The 17,920-nt window shown below is 50.3% G+C and overlaps 2 protein-coding genes across 4 annotated transcripts in view, besides 2 other annotated features; one reads left to right on the top strand and one right to left on the bottom strand.

Annotated features, from left to right (window-relative positions):
• The window catches only part of RNF14 (ring finger protein 14), a 40,956-nt gene extending 29,432 nt beyond the window's left edge, over positions 1-11,524 (bottom strand). The window contains exon 1 of one of the 3 annotated variants that reach the window (XM_047417908.1): positions 11,451-11,524. The gene's annotated coding sequence lies outside the window, so the exon portion shown is untranslated. Of the gene's footprint in view, positions 1-2,435; positions 2,557-11,450 lie in introns of those variants that run through there. The other 2 variants (XM_047417904.1, XM_047417903.1) reach the window with 2 other exon arrangements.
• Positions 1,987-2,892: an enhancer, noted in NCBI's record as "H3K27ac-H3K4me1 hESC enhancer chr5:141337534-141338439 (GRCh37/hg19 assembly coordinates)". NCBI's record gives its function as "activates a minimal SCP1, AML or CMV promoter by ChIP-STARR-seq in primed H9 embryonic stem cells {active_cell/tissue: H9 hESC(primed)}" and the evidence as "EXISTENCE:reporter gene assay evidence [ECO:0000049][PMID:30033119]".
• PCDH12 (protocadherin 12) lies at positions 2,659-17,280 on the top strand. Its single transcript, NM_016580.4, has 4 exons — positions 2,659-5,889; positions 9,271-9,368; positions 11,278-11,429; positions 15,056-17,280. Exons 1-4 carry the CDS (start codon positions 3,010-3,012, stop codon positions 15,478-15,480), a joined length of 3,555 nt encoding a protein of 1,184 aa, NP_057664.1. The 5' UTR covers positions 2,659-3,009; the 3' UTR covers positions 15,481-17,280.
• Positions 2,893-3,799: an enhancer, noted in NCBI's record as "H3K27ac-H3K4me1 hESC enhancer chr5:141336627-141337533 (GRCh37/hg19 assembly coordinates)". NCBI's record gives its function as "activates a minimal SCP1, AML or CMV promoter by ChIP-STARR-seq in primed H9 embryonic stem cells {active_cell/tissue: H9 hESC(primed)}" and the evidence as "EXISTENCE:reporter gene assay evidence [ECO:0000049][PMID:30033119]".
• Positions 17,281-17,920: the final 640 nt, after the last annotated feature.

The following is a 17,920-nucleotide window of genomic DNA, read 5'->3' as shown; positions in this document are numbered from 1 at the left end:
ATTACTCTCAACTAGGCTCCCTCCCTCTTCTCTGTTCCCTTCCAAGCCATTTTCCAGGGTGCAGCCAAAAGGCCTTTCTGGAGGGCACATCTGTGTGATCTTGGGCAAGTTACCTAACGCTGTGTGCTCAGCATCTTCAATGTGATGGTATGGCTGTGAGTGCGTCATGAGAGGATGTAGGTAAAGCACTTAGGACAAGGCCTGGCATGTGGTCGCTGTTCTCATTATCCTGCGTAGAGCTTTTCAAAAGCACTCCACGACCTTCAGGACAAGGTCTAAATTCTTAGCCATGGGAACCCAGGCCACTGCATCATCTGAGGACCCCTGCTTATGTCCCCTGCCCAACCTTCCTCCCTACACTACTGCACTGACCCTCTTGCAGCACAGCCAGGAGCCAGCCTGCCCACTTCGGGGCCTTTGCCCATTTTGCCCCTGCCACCAGCTTTGCCTGTCTCCTGCCTATTCAACTTCCTCGGGCTCACTCCTCCAGGTCCGTCAGGATTCAGCGTGTGCCCTCCATGAGGAGCCTCCCGGACCCCCAGGCCTGATTCCAGAGCCATTCTACTGGCCTCTCGCCTTTCATTTTCCCTGCCCCCACCTGCGACTGTCAGCCCCTTGCCTTGTTCACTGTCAGGCACACAGGGGGACGATTGCGGGGCGGATAGTGAGACTGTCACGTGGGCTGCCAGCAGGGGGCAATGGGCACCCTTGTGTCCCTGAGCTCCCAGGGGCTCCTAGTAGCTTAGGCAGCACCTTGCCCACACCAAGCTGAGGGAGACCTGAGAAATGGGATTCCTGCCAAAGAGGCAAAGAAAAAAGTGAAGGGACAAATGCAAGGCCATCTTTGCCATTTGCGTATGAGGCATAAAACTTGGAAGATAATAAACAGCAAAATCATAGTCCTTATGTGCTGAGTGCTTTCTCTGAGCCAGGCCCTGTGCTGAGTCCTTACCCCACCTTGTGAGATCGATGACAGCCCTCAGAGAAGGAAACAGAGGCTAGGAGAGGTTAAGTCCCTTGTGCAGTGTCTCAGAGCTTGTGAGTGGCCTGTCTGTCTCCAGGGCCATGCTGTAGGAGGTGGCCCTGGATTCAGGCCCCTTGCTATGGTTTAATGGGTTTCAGTGAAATAGTTGGGAAACCTCAGGAGTGGGATATGGAGTTAAGGGAAAGAAAAGCCAGAGAGAAAGGGAAGGAGTGCAGGTGACTGTCCCTTAGCCACCCCAGTCCTGATGACCACAGGCCTCCATGCCAATAAGCCCTGACTAGTGCCACTTGGGTCCAAACATGGCATCTCTGGCCCCAAGGGCTTAGTAGCAAACACCCATCTAGGGAAGCTGGCGTTCATTCTCATCACCTCAAATGCTTCATGAGCCTCAGGGATCAACCTTGAAGTGGGTATAAGGCTGGGAGAATGTTGGGGGCAGCAAACTGAAGGGCACAATAAGAAGCAATAAGGCCACCTCAAAGCCCACCCAAGCAAACTGCTCATTCACCTCCTTCCTTCCTGAATTTCACCTTATGAGGAGGTGAGTGGAAGATAGGGTATCCCTTAAAACATCTAAAAGGAGAGTTGGGGGCAGCAAAGGAGATGTGCTTCACGGGACTCTTATAAACAAAACTGGGGAGAGAAGAATTGGAGGAAGGGGGAAAGACATAGATGAAAGGGAGGGGAAGGTGTGGGAGAGGGAAACGTATAAAAGCTTCCAAGAGGAGTGGGAGGCTGGGGGTTCCCCAGACAGAGACTCAGTCTGGACCAGATGCAGAGAACAATGGACTTCAAGGCTGGAGGGGGGCAGAAGGGAAGCGGGAGGAGAGCCACACGGTCAAGTTGCACAGGTTCTTGCAGCTTCTGGAATCAAGACCATGGGCACCCTCATAAGTCAGTGTGGGCAGGGACTGCCCCAGGGCCAATCCAAGATCCAGAGGTAGCCATAGGGTGTGACAAGTTGTGCAGATTACAACACTCACCCCTTGCAATAACGTCACTGCCTGTGACTCGGGGCCAGGCCCAGGCCAAAGCCCTTCCTACATCATTTCGTTTAATCCTCACAGTTTCCTGCTGAAAGGGCTACTATTCTTACTCCCATCCCCACTCTACAGATGAGGTAATGGAGGCCCAGGAAAGTTAAGTGACTTGTCCCAGATGACACCGCTGGTAAGTTGCAAAGTCAGAATTTGAACTCAGGCAGTTTACCTCTGATGGCTGCTCTGTTAATCACAGCTGCTTTCCAGTGAGACAAAAACGGGTGATCAGGGCAGAGTCAAGACAGAGAGGTAAACAAGATTGGGAAAAAGACAGGAATGAGAGGGGAACAATGGGGGAAAAGATAGGAACAAAGAGAGTTGGGGAAGGGGAGAGAAACAGGAAACATGACTTGCCCGGGAGGGGCATCAGTCCACGTGCAAGCAGGTGGAGGCTCAAGTTTTCTGCTCACTTGGTGATGCAGAGGCTCCCTTTCCCTCAGCAGCCGCCTTGCTGCGTGGACAGCAGCTTCCCATCTGGCCTGTCCCCGGAGCCCCGGCCTCATCCTCCTCAGCGGCAGGCCACTTAGCTTCACAGGAAATGCTCTTTCTCTAATTGGCATTGAAACTCACAGCCCTCCCTTTTCCTGTAGGTGGGGTTTCCATAGGAAAAAGCTGCTTCTCTGTTTCCCCAGCCTAGCAACTGTTTGGCAGTCAGAGTCCCACATCCTGCTCAACTGGGTCAGGTCCCTCTTAGACCAGCTCTTGTCCATCATTTGCTGAAGTGGACCAACTAGTTCCCCAGTAGGGGGTCTCCCCTGGCAATTCTTGATCGGCGTTTGGACATCTCAGATCGCTTCCAATGAAGATGGCCTTGCCTTGGGGTCCTGCTTGTTTCATAATCATCTAACTATGGGACAAGGTTGTGCCGGCAGCTCTGGGGGAAGGAGCACGGGGCTGATCAAGCCATCCAGGAAACACTGGAGGACTTGTCCAGCCTTGAAAGAACTCTAGTGGTTTCTGAATCTAGCCCACTTGGCGGTAAGCATGATGCAACTTCTGCAACTTCTGCTGGGGCTTTTGGGGCCAGGTGGCTACTTATTTCTTTTAGGGGATTGTCAGGAGGTGACCACTCTCACGGTGAAATACCAAGTGTCAGAGGAAGTGCCATCTGGTACAGTGATCGGGAAGCTGTCCCAGGAACTGGGCCGGGAGGAGAGGCGGAGGCAAGCTGGGGCTGCCTTCCAGGTGTTGCAGCTGCCTCAGGCGCTCCCCATTCAGGTGGACTCTGAGGAAGGCTTGCTCAGCACAGGCAGGCGGCTGGATCGAGAGCAGCTGTGCCGACAGTGGGATCCCTGCCTGGTTTCCTTTGATGTGCTTGCCACAGGGGATTTGGCTCTGATCCATGTGGAGATCCAAGTGCTGGACATCAATGACCACCAGCCACGGTTTCCCAAAGGCGAGCAGGAGCTGGAAATCTCTGAGAGCGCCTCTCTGCGAACCCGGATCCCCCTGGACAGAGCTCTTGACCCAGACACAGGCCCTAACACCCTGCACACCTACACTCTGTCTCCCAGTGAGCACTTTGCCTTGGATGTCATTGTGGGCCCTGATGAGACCAAACATGCAGAACTCATAGTGGTGAAGGAGCTGGACAGGGAAATCCATTCATTTTTTGATCTGGTGTTAACTGCCTATGACAATGGGAACCCCCCCAAGTCAGGTACCAGCTTGGTCAAGGTCAACGTCTTGGACTCCAATGACAATAGCCCTGCGTTTGCTGAGAGTTCACTGGCACTGGAAATCCAAGAAGATGCTGCACCTGGTACGCTTCTCATAAAACTGACCGCCACAGACCCTGACCAAGGCCCCAATGGGGAGGTGGAGTTCTTCCTCAGTAAGCACATGCCTCCAGAGGTGCTGGACACCTTCAGTATTGATGCCAAGACAGGCCAGGTCATTCTGCGTCGACCTCTAGACTATGAAAAGAACCCTGCCTACGAGGTGGATGTTCAGGCAAGGGACCTGGGTCCCAATCCTATCCCAGCCCATTGCAAAGTTCTCATCAAGGTTCTGGATGTCAATGACAACATCCCAAGCATCCACGTCACATGGGCCTCCCAGCCATCACTGGTGTCAGAAGCTCTTCCCAAGGACAGTTTTATTGCTCTTGTCATGGCAGATGACTTGGATTCAGGACACAATGGTTTGGTCCACTGCTGGCTGAGCCAAGAGCTGGGCCACTTCAGGCTGAAAAGAACTAATGGCAACACATACATGTTGCTAACCAATGCCACACTGGACAGAGAGCAGTGGCCCAAATATACCCTCACTCTGTTAGCCCAAGACCAAGGACTCCAGCCCTTATCAGCCAAGAAACAGCTCAGCATTCAGATCAGTGACATCAACGACAATGCACCTGTGTTTGAGAAAAGCAGGTATGAAGTCTCCACGCGGGAAAACAACTTACCCTCTCTTCACCTCATTACCATCAAGGCTCATGATGCAGACTTGGGCATTAATGGAAAAGTCTCATACCGCATCCAGGACTCCCCAGTTGCTCACTTAGTAGCTATTGACTCCAACACAGGAGAGGTCACTGCTCAGAGGTCACTGAACTATGAAGAGATGGCCGGCTTTGAGTTCCAGGTGATCGCAGAGGACAGCGGGCAACCCATGCTTGCATCCAGTGTCTCTGTGTGGGTCAGCCTCTTGGATGCCAATGATAATGCCCCAGAGGTGGTCCAGCCTGTGCTCAGCGATGGAAAAGCCAGCCTCTCCGTGCTTGTGAATGCCTCCACAGGCCACCTGCTGGTGCCCATCGAGACTCCCAATGGCTTGGGCCCAGCGGGCACTGACACACCTCCACTGGCCACTCACAGCTCCCGGCCATTCCTTTTGACAACCATTGTGGCAAGAGATGCAGACTCGGGGGCAAATGGAGAGCCCCTCTACAGCATCCGCAGTGGAAATGAAGCCCACCTCTTCATCCTCAACCCTCATACGGGGCAGCTGTTCGTCAATGTCACCAATGCCAGCAGCCTCATTGGGAGTGAGTGGGAGCTGGAGATAGTAGTAGAGGACCAGGGAAGCCCCCCCTTACAGACCCGAGCCCTGTTGAGGGTCATGTTTGTCACCAGTGTGGACCACCTGAGGGACTCAGCCCGCAAGCCTGGGGCCTTGAGCATGTCGATGCTGACGGTGATCTGCCTGGCTGTACTGTTGGGCATCTTCGGGTTGATCCTGGCTTTGTTCATGTCCATCTGCCGGACAGAAAAGAAGGACAACAGGGCCTACAACTGTCGGGAGGCCGAGTCCACCTACCGCCAGCAGCCCAAGAGGCCCCAGAAACACATTCAGAAGGCAGACATCCACCTCGTGCCTGTGCTCAGGGGTCAGGCAGGTGAGCCTTGTGAAGTCGGGCAGTCCCACAAAGATGTGGACAAGGAGGCGATGATGGAAGCAGGCTGGGACCCCTGCCTGCAGGCCCCCTTCCACCTCACCCCGACCCTGTACAGGACGCTGCGTAATCAAGGCAACCAGGGAGCACCGGCGGAGAGCCGAGAGGTGCTGCAAGACACGGTCAACCTCCTTTTCAACCATCCCAGGCAGAGGAATGCCTCCCGGGAGAACCTGAACCTTCCCGAGCCCCAGCCTGCCACAGGCCAGCCACGTTCCAGGCCTCTGAAGGTTGCAGGCAGCCCCACAGGGAGGCTGGCTGGAGACCAGGGCAGTGAGGAAGCCCCACAGAGGCCACCAGCCTCCTCTGCAACCCTGAGACGGCAGCGACATCTCAATGGCAAAGTGTCCCCTGAGAAAGAATCAGGGCCCCGTCAGATCCTGCGGAGCCTGGTCCGGCTGTCTGTGGCTGCCTTCGCCGAGCGGAACCCCGTGGAGGAGCTCACTGTGGATTCTCCTCCTGTTCAGGTACCTGGGGCATGGGCAGCTCTTTCTCTGGTCACTCCTGGACCACCAGAAACAGAATCAGACACCCCCATAACCTGCACAGTCCTCATGTTTCTTCCTTAGGCTCACCTGGCACTTTCTGATGCTTTGGGTAGCAATGGTTCAGGGCACAGCTTTGTGATCGGCTGAACTTAGCTGTGTGATCCTAGGCAAATTCCTTACTGTCTCTGGGCCTTAGTTGTCTTATCTGTAAATTAGAGATGATAGTAAGAGTATCTACCTTGTAGAGTTGTCCAGAGGATTTGATCAATTAATTCCTATAAGGCATTTATGGTGCCTCACAAGTAGACACACAGCAAAGGTAGTGATTAAGAGTATAAGCTTTGGGCAAGGTTACCTGGGTTCAAATCCTGGCTCCACTTCTTCCTAGCTCTGAACCACAGAGGAAGTTAACATCTCTGTTGAAGATGTCTATGTTAACACCACCCATCTTCTAAGTTTGCTTGAAAATAAAATGAGTGAATGCTCTTAATGCCTGTAGAACAGTGTCCATCTGACATGTAGTCAGTACTCAGCAAATTATTACTATTACTTCCTCAAAGCACTTCTCCATCTCCACTATTTGCCTGCCTTCATCTCATCTGGGCAACTTCCCTATGAAGAAGGCCAGCATAGGCATCATTGCACCCAAACCCAGGTGTTGCAAATAATTTGTCTGAGACCCCAGAGCTTTCCGGCTGGGCCTGCGGATGGGGCAGTGGAAATTACCTTAGAACTTAGCAGTTAGGCAGATTGGAGTTCAGATTTCAACACAGCCACTTAGGAGCTGGGCAACCTTGTACACGTCCTTCAACATCTGAGCCTCATTTTCCTCATCTATAAAATGGGGATTATGAGACCAAACTTACCCTGTGTCTGCCTCCTTAGAGTGTGAGGGCTAAATGGGATGATGAGTGTCAAAATGTCTAAGGACCTGGGATTTTCTAGACACAAGTGGGGAAACCTTTCCAGGGATGATGCCTGATCTCACACCCATATCTGCTTCTGTGAACCTCAGATATTTTCACTGTGCCAGGCTGCCCGCCCAAGGCACACTTCTGTTTGGCCAGGCTATCAGCTCAGGTTTCCTGTGAAGCAAAACACAGTTTCCTTCCCTATTCCCTCCTCAGGAAGCCACCTGGAGATGGCCCAGCTGTTCTCTTAGGAATCTTGCCCTGGGATCGGTGCAGACCCAGAGGCTGCCAGAGCCAACCATTCATTTATCCTTCCATTCATCCATCCATTTATCAGGTGCTTTTTGGATAAACTCTGTGCTGAACACTGTGCTGGCTGCTGGTAGACAGGACAACAGAGAATAGGCCCTGTGGGTGACCCCGCTGAGGTGACAGAAAGAAAGGTGCCCATTTGGGATCAACTTGAGGGTAACAGGCAACTTGCCCAATGCTCATATCTTTCCAGCAGCACATAGAGTCAGATCTGAGTGTAAATTCCAGCCCTCCCACTAATTTCTGTGTAGCCCCTGTGAGCCTCCAATTCCACCTCTGCAAAATGGCCATAATGGTATCTCTTCCCTTAGGCTGTTGTAAGAATTAAATGAGATTATACACCACTGGACAATCACTGTTTATCATGGGATTTATTAATAAGCTCATTTAAACCTCGTAACCCACCATATGACCTGGGTCTCATTAATATGCACTTTTTTTACTGTTGAGGAAACTGAGTAATTTTCTCAGAATGCTTAAGTAATTCCTCAAGGCCACACTGATGGGAACTGGGGCAGGGACATATTTAGGATTTGAACCTGAGTCTGACTGATTCGAGTCTGGGCTGTAACTGTGAAGTGACCCTGAATGACAGTGCTCAGCATAGGGCTTGGCATGTAGGGAGTCATGTCATGAAAAGGCAGCTGTCACTTGAGCAAAGGGTGGCAGGTATCTTAGGAGGGCTTCTGGGCCTGGGCTGGGAGGTGGGATCTTCCCTGAGGCAGGCAATAAGACCCCGAGTCTCCCAAGTCACAGTGAAACCCCAGTCCTGGCCATCTCCTCTTCCAACTCTCCTCTGAGGTTGACACTTCCTACCTCAAGCTGCACAGAGGGGCATGGTGGACCTCCTAAGGGAGGAATGGGGATGGACCCAGGAGGAGGAAGCAGTGTTTCTAGGAATAACAGTGCAAACTCCTTGCTTTTGCAGAGGATTTTTAACTTTTTCAAACCATTTAATCGTGACAACACTGAGAAGAAGGCGTGTGGGTATTTCTAGCCCCCTATTAGAGATGAGGAAACTGAGGTCTGAGGAGGTCTAAAAACCTGTCTAATGCTATACAATAAGCTACAAATGGCCTTGAACTAGAACTCCGCCTCCCAGGACTTGATCTGTTGCCTCTCCCTTCCAATGGCCTATAGGGTCTGGCCGTGATATCTCACCCATCCCCTACTCCATTCTCCAGTCTTTCTGAAACTCTACCTTCTCTTCCAGCCTTTCAGTGTGCAGTGCTTCTGCCTGAAAACCTCCCCACCCCTTGCCCAGACCTTCATTCTCTTTCCACTTGCCAAACTCCTATGGAGCCTTTGGGTCTCAGCAGAGGTGCCTGGCATGTGGTATGAACTCAGTAACATCTGTTGAAATGAATGAATTAACTTAATCCAGTACCACCCCCCTGCTTCCTCCCTGCTCCAAGTTGGGTTAGGGGCCCTCTGCTCCCACAGAGCCCCCATTCTTTCCCTATGCCCAGAGGCAACCCCTGTGGTAAACACTCTTCGCTGCCCTGATCTCCAGCCAGCCTCCCTGTGGGGCTGCCTGCAACCTTCACATCCTGACAGATGTGACCACGCTGAGGGCAGCAGCTGGGGCTCCTTCTCCTTCTTACTCCCATAGCAACCACCCTGCCTGGCACTTATTAAGTACTTGTTGAATGAATGAAAAGATGAATAAATGAATAATTCAATGACACCATTTTGCCTTCTCTACAACATAGTCTTACATCTGGTCAACAAAAATTGGCCGAATGTCCAAATACTGCTAAAGGGGAACATAACTCTTTAAGATAATCTTCATCAAAGTAACAACAAATTGATGGTCAGGAAATGCCTTTTTCACCCCATCTCTCAGAGTCCACCAGGTGCAGGACACTCGGAGGAATGAGTATGAGGGGACAGGCCCAGAGGGTCCTCTTGCTCTCCTTCAGACACTCAGGTCCTGGGGTGACATGACAGAGCAGGGGACCTGCCCGCCCAGGTCCCTGTCTCTGTCACTGGGCACCATCCCCCATCTGATCACACAAACATCTGAAGCCAGAGGAAAGACTATAAAAAGAAAGCACCGGCATTGAGGGAAACATCCGGCGAGGAAGTGTGCTGAGTCGGAATTGTGTGGAGTCAACAGATTTTTCCTGTCTTGTAGCAAATCTCCCAGCTGCTGTCCTTGCTGCATCAGGGCCAATTCCAGCCCAAACCAAACCACCGAGGAAATAAGTACTTGGCCAAGCCAGGAGGCAGCAGGTAAGCAGCACGTAGCCCCCACAGGCATCTCAAGGCCCCTACTGGCCGCCCCTCATCACTGCAGCCTCTGTGAGTGAGGAAGGGTGAGCACAAGTCAGACACCGGTCCCCTGGGAGGGTGCAGCAGACAGCATCCATCCTCCCACCCTGGGAGTTTTGGTCGTGAGGTGACTGTATTGATAGTATTTACAGGACCTAGAAGTCCTGTAGGACTAACTAGCTGTATTGATAAATACCATCAATACAGTAGTCACCAAGGAAATGACCTCATCCCTGAGACTGTATTTGTCCCAATTACAGAGGTGCTGTAAATTGCCTTTATATCTGTAACTGTCACCTCTCTTTCTCTTGACCCATAAACATAATATGAAGGCTCCCCACTAAAGACATGGCTGTGTGGGCGTGTCCCTTTGGGCAATCCTAGAATTGAAGACACCTTAAGAGAACATCAAATCCAACTTCTTGTTACGGATGGAGAAACTGAGGCTCTGAGTAGCTTGATTCAAACCAGCTATGTAAACTTGAGCAAGTGAGATAATCTCTCAGGACCTTGGTTTCCCCATCTGTAAAACAGAACCCATCCCATTTCCCTTGTGGTAATGGGGTGAGGATTTCATAATCAATTGTATTCTAAGCCCATAGCCCAGCAACTGACACATAGTAGGTGCACACACAATGCTAACTCCTTTCCCCTTGAAGCAATTTTGCTAAAGGTCATGTAACAAGTGAGTGGCAAAGCTGGGACCAGCTCTCAGAGTTCCTGACTCCTGCATCAGTGCTCTTGCCCTGACAACTTACAGCTTCTTTTTACAAGGATGGTGAGAGGTAGTGTACTGCAGGGGTGAGTCCACACACTCCAGGGTCACACTGGCCTGGATTTGAAGTCTTGCTTTATCTCTTAATCTATGGGGACCTTGGGCAACCTGCAAAATCTTCACAAGTCTTGGTTTTCTCATTTGTACAATGGGTTGATTAAAGAGAACCCCTTACAGGTGTGGAAGGTTTGAATAAGACGGTGCATGGACCTTGCATCGCATAAGGCCTGACTCAGACTCACTGCTCAAAAACATTAGTTGTCATTATCACCCACACACTTGCCACCTCCCTGCTCATTTCTTCACAGCAGCAGAAATGGCTACAGGGGAACAAAACCAAACAAACAGAAGGACTCCTACGCCTTAAAACCCCTCAGGTAGCCTTCCCACCTGCTGGGATGAGGGTCCAGGCCTGTCCCCAAGTGTCTATGGGAGAGAGGGACCAGGATGGAGACAGCAGGAGACTGGGGTGCAGGTAGCAGATTCTGAGCAGCTTTAGGCTGCCTCACTCCGGCTGCACCCTCCATAGGTCTGCTCTTCTGGCCTAGGATTTGGCCTAAAGTAGGGAGGAAGGAATGTTCAGTCACTCATTCAGCACCCACTGTGTGCCACGCCCTGTTCTGAGCATCAGTAAGGGAGCAGGCAATGAGACAGGCAAAAATCCCAGCCTTCTCCTACGGACGGATGGACGGCTGCACTGGCTCCACTGAGGTTTACTAAACTCCTCCTGTGTGCCAGGCAATACCTAGACATGGGAGGGGCAACGAGAATGATATCAATGAACTCATCTTCACTTCTGTCTGCTGAGTGCTTACAATGTGCCAGGCTCTGTGGTAGGCCCCTCTACCTACAACGTCTCATTTTACCCTCACAACACCCTGTGAGGTGGGTGTTATTTATTACTCTCATTTTACAAATGAGGAAACAGAGTAAGAGGAGGGCGGGAATCACATGATCCAGGTTGGTCTGACTCTAGAGGCCAGGCTGTGTATCCAGTTCCCTATATGGGTAAATGAATGCAAACATGAATGGGCATGAATGAATGAATCTATATGGGAATGTCCCTACCCATGGACTGGTTGGTTTCTTTTGCAGGAGTGCAATCCCAGACACAGATGGCCCAAGTGCAAGGGCTGGAGGCCAGACAGACCCAGAACAGGAGGAAGGGCCTTTGGATCCTGAAGAGGACCTCTCTGTGAAGCAACTGCTAGAAGAAGAGCTGTCAAGTCTGCTGGACCCCAGCACAGGTAGGGACCCCCTGGAGTTACCTTGACCCTGCTTCTGCCCCATGGTGTCCAAGCTTCAGAGTTCTGCTCCAATCCACTGCAGGGAAAAGCCATTCTGTTTCTGTGGAGGAACATCAGCAACATTTAACTTCCCTTGCACCCTTGCAGCCTCAGAAAGTATTTTAAAGACCAGGTTCTACTTTGATTTTTTTTTTTTTTAGACAGGGTCTTGCTCTGTCACCCAGGCTGGAGTACAGTGGCATGATCACAGCATGATCACAGCTCACTGCAGCATTGACCTCCTGGGCTCAGGTGATCCTCCCACCTTAGCCTCCCAAGTAGCTGGGACTACAGGTGAGCACCACCACCACATCCCGCTAATTTTTGATTTTTTTTTTTTTTTGTAGGGACAGGGATTCACCTGTTGCCCAGGCTGGTCTCCAACTCCTGGGCTCAAGCAATCCACCCACCTCAGCCTCCCAAAGTGCTGGCATTAGAGGCATGAGCCACCTGTAATCAAAGCCAAAGTAGGCACCTGGCCTACGTTGATTATTCATTTTAAAAATCATTGTAAAAATAGTGAACATGCCAGGCACTGGGGAAGCATCTTATGTACATGATCTCATTTAAGCCTCCAACCAATCCCCTCAAGTAGATAATTATTACCTCGAATTTACAGATGAGCAAACCGAGGCTCAAAAAAATCAAGTAGCCTTCCCAGAGTCACCCAGCTCACCAGTGATTGAAGGGGAGCCAAACCCTGAGCCAGCCTGTCCTCTATGGACTTCTTACCACTCATTGGCGTTTGGTGTGTTTCAATACCCTTTCACCCTGGGAACCAGGTCAACTCTTTAATATGCTAACAATTGCAATGAAAACAAAAAGATTTTTTTGCAGAGAAATAATTAGCTTTGACAATAAATACATAATGTGAACTTGAATTCAAGAATCTGCTAGCGCCCCCCGCCCCTGCTGTGGACATTGGTCAGCCTCCTTTGGTAACACACCCCACGGCAGACCATCCCTGTGCTGTGGTTTTCTATCTATGTAGTTAACACTGTTTCTCATGTGCTCCATCTGGCTGCAGACACACTGAAGGTATGGCAGGGACTTCTCTTTCCTTGGTTAAAAAATATTGCTAATGTTTATTGGGCACTTTCTATGTGCTAGGCCCTGTTCTAAGTACCTCATGAGAAAATCTTATGAGATAGGGGCTATTCATTATCCCCATTTCATAAAGGAAAAATGTGAGGGTCAGGGGTGTTTCATAATTTGCCCAAGGTTGTGCAGCTCGTGGATGGTTATTAACACAGGCAGTGTGGCTGTAAATTTTAGAGCTGTGTTGTTCAATGAGGTAGTCACTAGCGACAAGTGGCTATTTAAATTTAAGTGAATTAAAATTAAATAAAATAAAATATTCAGTTCTGCCATACCAGCCACATTTCAAGTGCTCACTGGCTATGTATGGCTGGGGGATATAGCTTTGGATTCTATCTCTATTGGTCAGCTCTGGCTGGAACCTGTGGGGTCAGTTCCCACACGGTCCTGCTTGCCCACAGCACAAAGGGTACTGAACACAGGGGCACTGTAAGGAGTTGGGGGTAAGGAAAGAGGAGGGGCAGAAAAGCCTTTGCTGCTCACAGGCTGGACTGCCATGGGGAGACTGGGATCTTGCTGCTTCAGATCTGCTTCAGATTGCTTCAGATTTGCTGCTTCGGATTCAGATTGCCCCACTTGAGAATGCGACCATGATAATGTTTTCCTGGTTGCATGAACTCACTGAACCTCACAACAACTCCACAAGATACGTACTACTGTCTCACCACTTCCTAAGAGGAAACGGGAGCTTAGAGAGGTTAAGCCATTTTCCCAAGGTCACACACACTGCCCCTAAGCTGCAAAGCTGGGAAATCAAACCCAGGTTGGCCCAGTGCCCACCTGCAGCTAGAACTGGTGGGTGATGCTGGGTGAATTCAGCATCACTTTTCAGCTGTTCTCATACGCCCCAGTGATTTTCTCATTCCAAGCTTCACTCCTTCTGAAGCTCTCTGACCCATGTAAAAGGAAAGGCCTGATTCTATAACACCAAGAGTTCCATCCAACCTTATAGCCTCAGAGTCTCAAGGAACTAAGGTTTGCATTTCCCAAATGTTGAAGGTTAATATTTATGTTCATTCAATCATTCAACAAACATTCACTAAGTCCCAGGCATGGGGCTAAACCCAAGGATCCAGTAGGGCAGGAGCCCAACAGTGTCTCACAAGCTGCACAGTCCAGAATGCAGGGCAGAGATTCATTTATCAGTACAATAAATGACTACACATACTTCGGAATAACTTGTTCAAATTACATAAGTAATATTTGGTTAATATAGAAAAACATAGATAAACAAAAAGAGAATGGATTGCTTCTGCCCAGAGGTAATTTCAGTTAACATTTTGACATATCTCCTTCCAGTCTTTCATTCTGTGCGCAGATTTTAAAGTAACTCACCTTAGGCAAACATTAGATAAATGTTAAGTAGATGTTGTGCTTTTTTTTTTTTTTTTAATTTTTTTAAGACACTGTTTCTTAACTCCAAGACTTATAATTTCTTTCCTCTGGCTTGGTCTCTACCATCAGGCCTGGGACTGGTTTCTTGAAACAGGATTTTCTGTTAAAGGGATGGGAAAAGAAGGGTGACTGTGGCATTGCAAATGTAGGGGCCAGTTTTTTGAATTCCCAGCCACCAGGCTGACTTGCCACCGCCACTACCCCAGTCCCTCTCCTGGGACAGCCCTTGGACAGGCAGCCCCTCCCCAGCCTGACTCTAGGCCAGGGTTCCAGCAGCTTGAGAGATGATGTTGAGGAGGATTTGAGGATCTGGGGCCAGGTGGTAACAGTGCAGACCTTAGGTAGCCTGGGAATTCCAGAGGCCCCAGCTGGGCACCTGGAGTATCCAGGGGGAGGAAGGGCCAGCTCTTCAGAGAGAGGGTAGGGTGGTGCCATCATAGGCTTCAAAGTCATCAGACCTGGCATCAAATTGAGGTTTGGTTGCCTAGCAGATGTGTGACTTAACTTCTTTCAGCTTCAGTTTCCTCATCCATCAAATGGGAATAATACTCTTGACCTCAAAGGTTTGTGAAGTTAAATGAAATAATTATGTAAATTGCTCATCACGTAAGTACCTAATATGTGGTCCCTATTATTATGGATGGGAACCAAAAAAGGCAGCGCTAAGTCAGGAACTCCAGCCTTGGCAAAGAAAAGGGATTTTCCCTCCATCCTCAGCTAGTGGAGCCCTGAGGGGAGAAGGCGCCCTGAGGGGTAAAAATCCTGGATGAAATATAGAAGACACTGAGACTGGAAACACACGCCCAGATTGGGAAATTCTTCAGAAATCGGCAAATTTCTACTTCTAGGCCTTCTCCTCCTCCTGCTGCTTCCCCACTTGGTTCGCCCGGGTGTGTCAGTCGACTGCTTTCCTACCCAGGGAGCTTCCCTGTCAGGGCCTCTTCCTTCCTGTCCCCGTCTGGCCACTCTGTCTGTCCCCTGCCATTTCCCTTCCCTCCTTTGTCCACTGCCCTTGCCCTGCTCATTGCCCCACCCTCACCCGCCTGGCCCTTCCCGGAGCCTGGCCCTCACTGTGTCCCCTCCTTCCCCCACAGGTCTGGCCCTGGACCGGCTGAGCGCCCCTGACCCGGCCTGGATGGCGAGACTCTCTTTGCCCCTCACCACCAACTACCGTGACAATGTGATCTCCCCGGATGCTGCAGCCACGGAGGAGCCAAGGACCTTCCAGACGTTCGGCAAGGCAGAGGCACCAGAGCTGAGCCCAACAGGCACGAGGCTGGCCAGCACCTTTGTCTCGGAGATGAGCTCACTGCTGGAGATGCTGCTGGAACAGCGCTCCAGCATGCCCGTGGAGGCCGCCTCCGAGGCGCTGCGGCGGCTCTCGGTCTGCGGGAGGACCCTCAGTTTAGACTTGGCCACCAGTGCAGCCTCAGGCATGAAAGTGCAAGGGGACCCAGGTGGAAAGACGGGGACTGAGGGCAAGAGCAGAGGCAGCAGCAGCAGCAGCAGGTGCCTGTGAACATACCTCAGACGCCTCTGGATCCAAGAACCAGGGGCCTGAGGATCTGTGGACAAGAGCTGGTTTCTAAAATCTTGTAACTCACTAGCTAGCGGCGGCCTGAGAACTTTAGGGTGACTGATGCTACCCCCACAGAGGAGGCAAGAGCCCCAGGACTAACAGCTGACTGACCAAAGCAGCCCCTTGTAAGCAGCTCTGAGTCTTTTGGAGGACAGGGACGGTTTGTGGCTGAGATAAGTGTTTCCTGGCAAAACATATGTGGAGCACAAAGGGTCAGTCCTCTGGCAGAACAGATGCCACGGAGTATCACAGGCAGGAAAGGGTGGCCTTCTTGGGTAGCAGGAGTCAGGGGGCTGTACCCTGGGGGTGCCAGGAAATGCTCTCTGACCTATCAATAAAGGAAAAGCAGTGATTCATTCTCCTGTTTGCACCTGTCAAGAGGGAGAAGGGAAGAGTAATAGAGTGGGGTTTATTTGTCATCCAATCCCTGGCAAGACCGTCACACTGGGCCTGGACAGGAGTGGGGCACCTTGGTACACAGTAACAGGTACACAAATAGCAGACATGTGTGCTCTTACCCCTGTTCCCCTATCACTATGTTACCAACTAATCTGCTTCTCAGCTGCAAAATTAGAGCTAAGAAAGCACAACTATTTATAAAGCATTTACATGAGCCAGGCACCAGGCTTTACAATAGGATTTAATTTGATTTTCCAACAATCCTGGGAGGGAGGTATTATTAACCCCATTTCACAGACACGGATATGGGGCTTGGAGAGGTCAAGTGGCTTTCCCAAGATCAAGCAGGGAGTAGAGCCAGAGCCAGGATTTGGACCCAGGCTGGGCCAACACCAAAACCCATGCCTTCAACCTTGACACCAGCCTGCCAACCAAAGACAGGAGAAGGGAAGGCCCTGGAGGTGAGCTGTTGGCAGCAGTGAACTTGCTCGAGCTCCCTCGGGAAACACTGTTGAAAGGAACATTTCCAAAGCCATCCAGGCCCGCACCTCTCTACATTCCCAAGCACAAGGCAAAAGGAACTTGGATCTGAACTGATGCAGACCCGTTCTTTCCCAACAAGTAGCTCTTCAAGTGCGGATGTCATCTTTCCCAACCCCATTTGCGGGTAAACCTTCCTCTGTCATTGCAGGTTCAGGCTTGTGAATCCCAGAGGACGCTGTGTGAACTGGGTCTATGAAATCGGCACTGACAGCAGCCAGCCTTCCAGGGGATGGGGGAGGGAAGAAACAGCAGATATTTTCCCAAGGTTCAGCTTTATAATTTTCTTGGAAATTTCCGAGCAGCCAATCAGCTAGCTTCTAAATAGTGTGGGTCTCTCCTGGACACTGCAGGCAAAAGTTCCTCTATCTGCTCCTCTTTTTGTCCTTTCTTGGAGCTCAGTGCTCATGTTCACTGTTCAAGAAATGGGCCAATCATACTCCCAACTAGGGATAATGTGCATCATACATACTTGGAATACAGTGTGGTATCATTATTCCATTTTACAGATGAAGAAAATGAGGCTCCCCAAAGTTATGAGTTTCAGGGGCAGAGTTTCTCCTCACCTCACTCTAGGCCAGAGTGATCTCCTTACAGAATCTGTGATTTTCAGGCTGGATCACAGAACTGTTGGGTTCTGTGGGCCAGTGAGAGAAACTGGGGGATATCAAGCAGGCAGGCAGGGTCTCCAGCCTGACCAGCCAGGTGCCTGCTACAAAGCAACACTTGATGAATAGCTGTTGAATGGATGTATGAATGAATAAATGTGTCAATAAATGCTTCAGAGGCCCCTTTTATCCATATTGGAGCTCCAGGTAGGACTTCATTAGAAAAAAAGACTCTGTGATGTAAAAGCAAAGTCTGAGAACCACAGTACTGGAGTAGACCATGGTGACCTCCCAGTTACCAGCAGATTTTCAGTGCAGAGCAGATGTTGGGAGGGTGGAGAGAAGAGAGTGGGCAGGGGGAGATGACCTGAGGAAGCTGGAGCTATAGCTGGCAACTGGATCACTAGACACATGGGACCATTGCATCATTCTAGTTCAAAAGCCCTAAATCTGTACTCCTTGGGCACCCTGAATACTAGGTAAAACTTTGTGTCTAGACACTTTTTTAGGCAGAAGATACAAAATTCTCATCAGATTCTCAAAGGAAACCTTGACCTTTAAAAGGTTACACAGCATTGCTTTAAGATACTATCTAAACATCCACAGACATGGGCAGTTGTCATAAAGAGTCTGAACTTTATCTATTTCAACTCTTCATTTTATAGCCAAGAATATAGAAAGAAACGGCAGATGACTTGCCCAAGGCCACCTGGCAGGTTTGTGGGGGAGAGCTTTCCAAATTAAGACATTTAACTGAGTGCTTGCTCAAATCAGGATTTGGATCTGGGATTTAGTATGGTGGTCTTTTTAATACATCAAGGATTCTTAATCTG

Source organism: Homo sapiens, chromosome 5 (assembly GCF_000001405.40).
Source record: "Homo sapiens chromosome 5, GRCh38.p14 Primary Assembly".
Lineage (NCBI taxonomy): Eukaryota > Metazoa > Chordata > Mammalia > Primates > Hominidae > Homo > Homo sapiens.
Note: the sequence above shows the minus strand (reverse complement) of the source record. Positions and strands in the feature narration are given on the sequence as shown.

Coding starts and splice junctions, on each gene's coding strand:
- PCDH12 (NM_016580.4), top strand. CDS start 3,010: ATGATGCAACTTCTGCAACTTCTGCTGGGGCTTTTGGGGCCAGGTGGC. Junction 9,369..11,277: donor GCCAAGCCAGGAGGCAGCAG/GTAAGCAGCACG, acceptor TTTCTTTTGCAG/GAGTGCAATCCCAGACACAG. Junction 11,430..15,055: donor TCTGCTGGACCCCAGCACAG/GTAGGGACCCCC, acceptor CTTCCCCCACAG/GTCTGGCCCTGGACCGGCTG.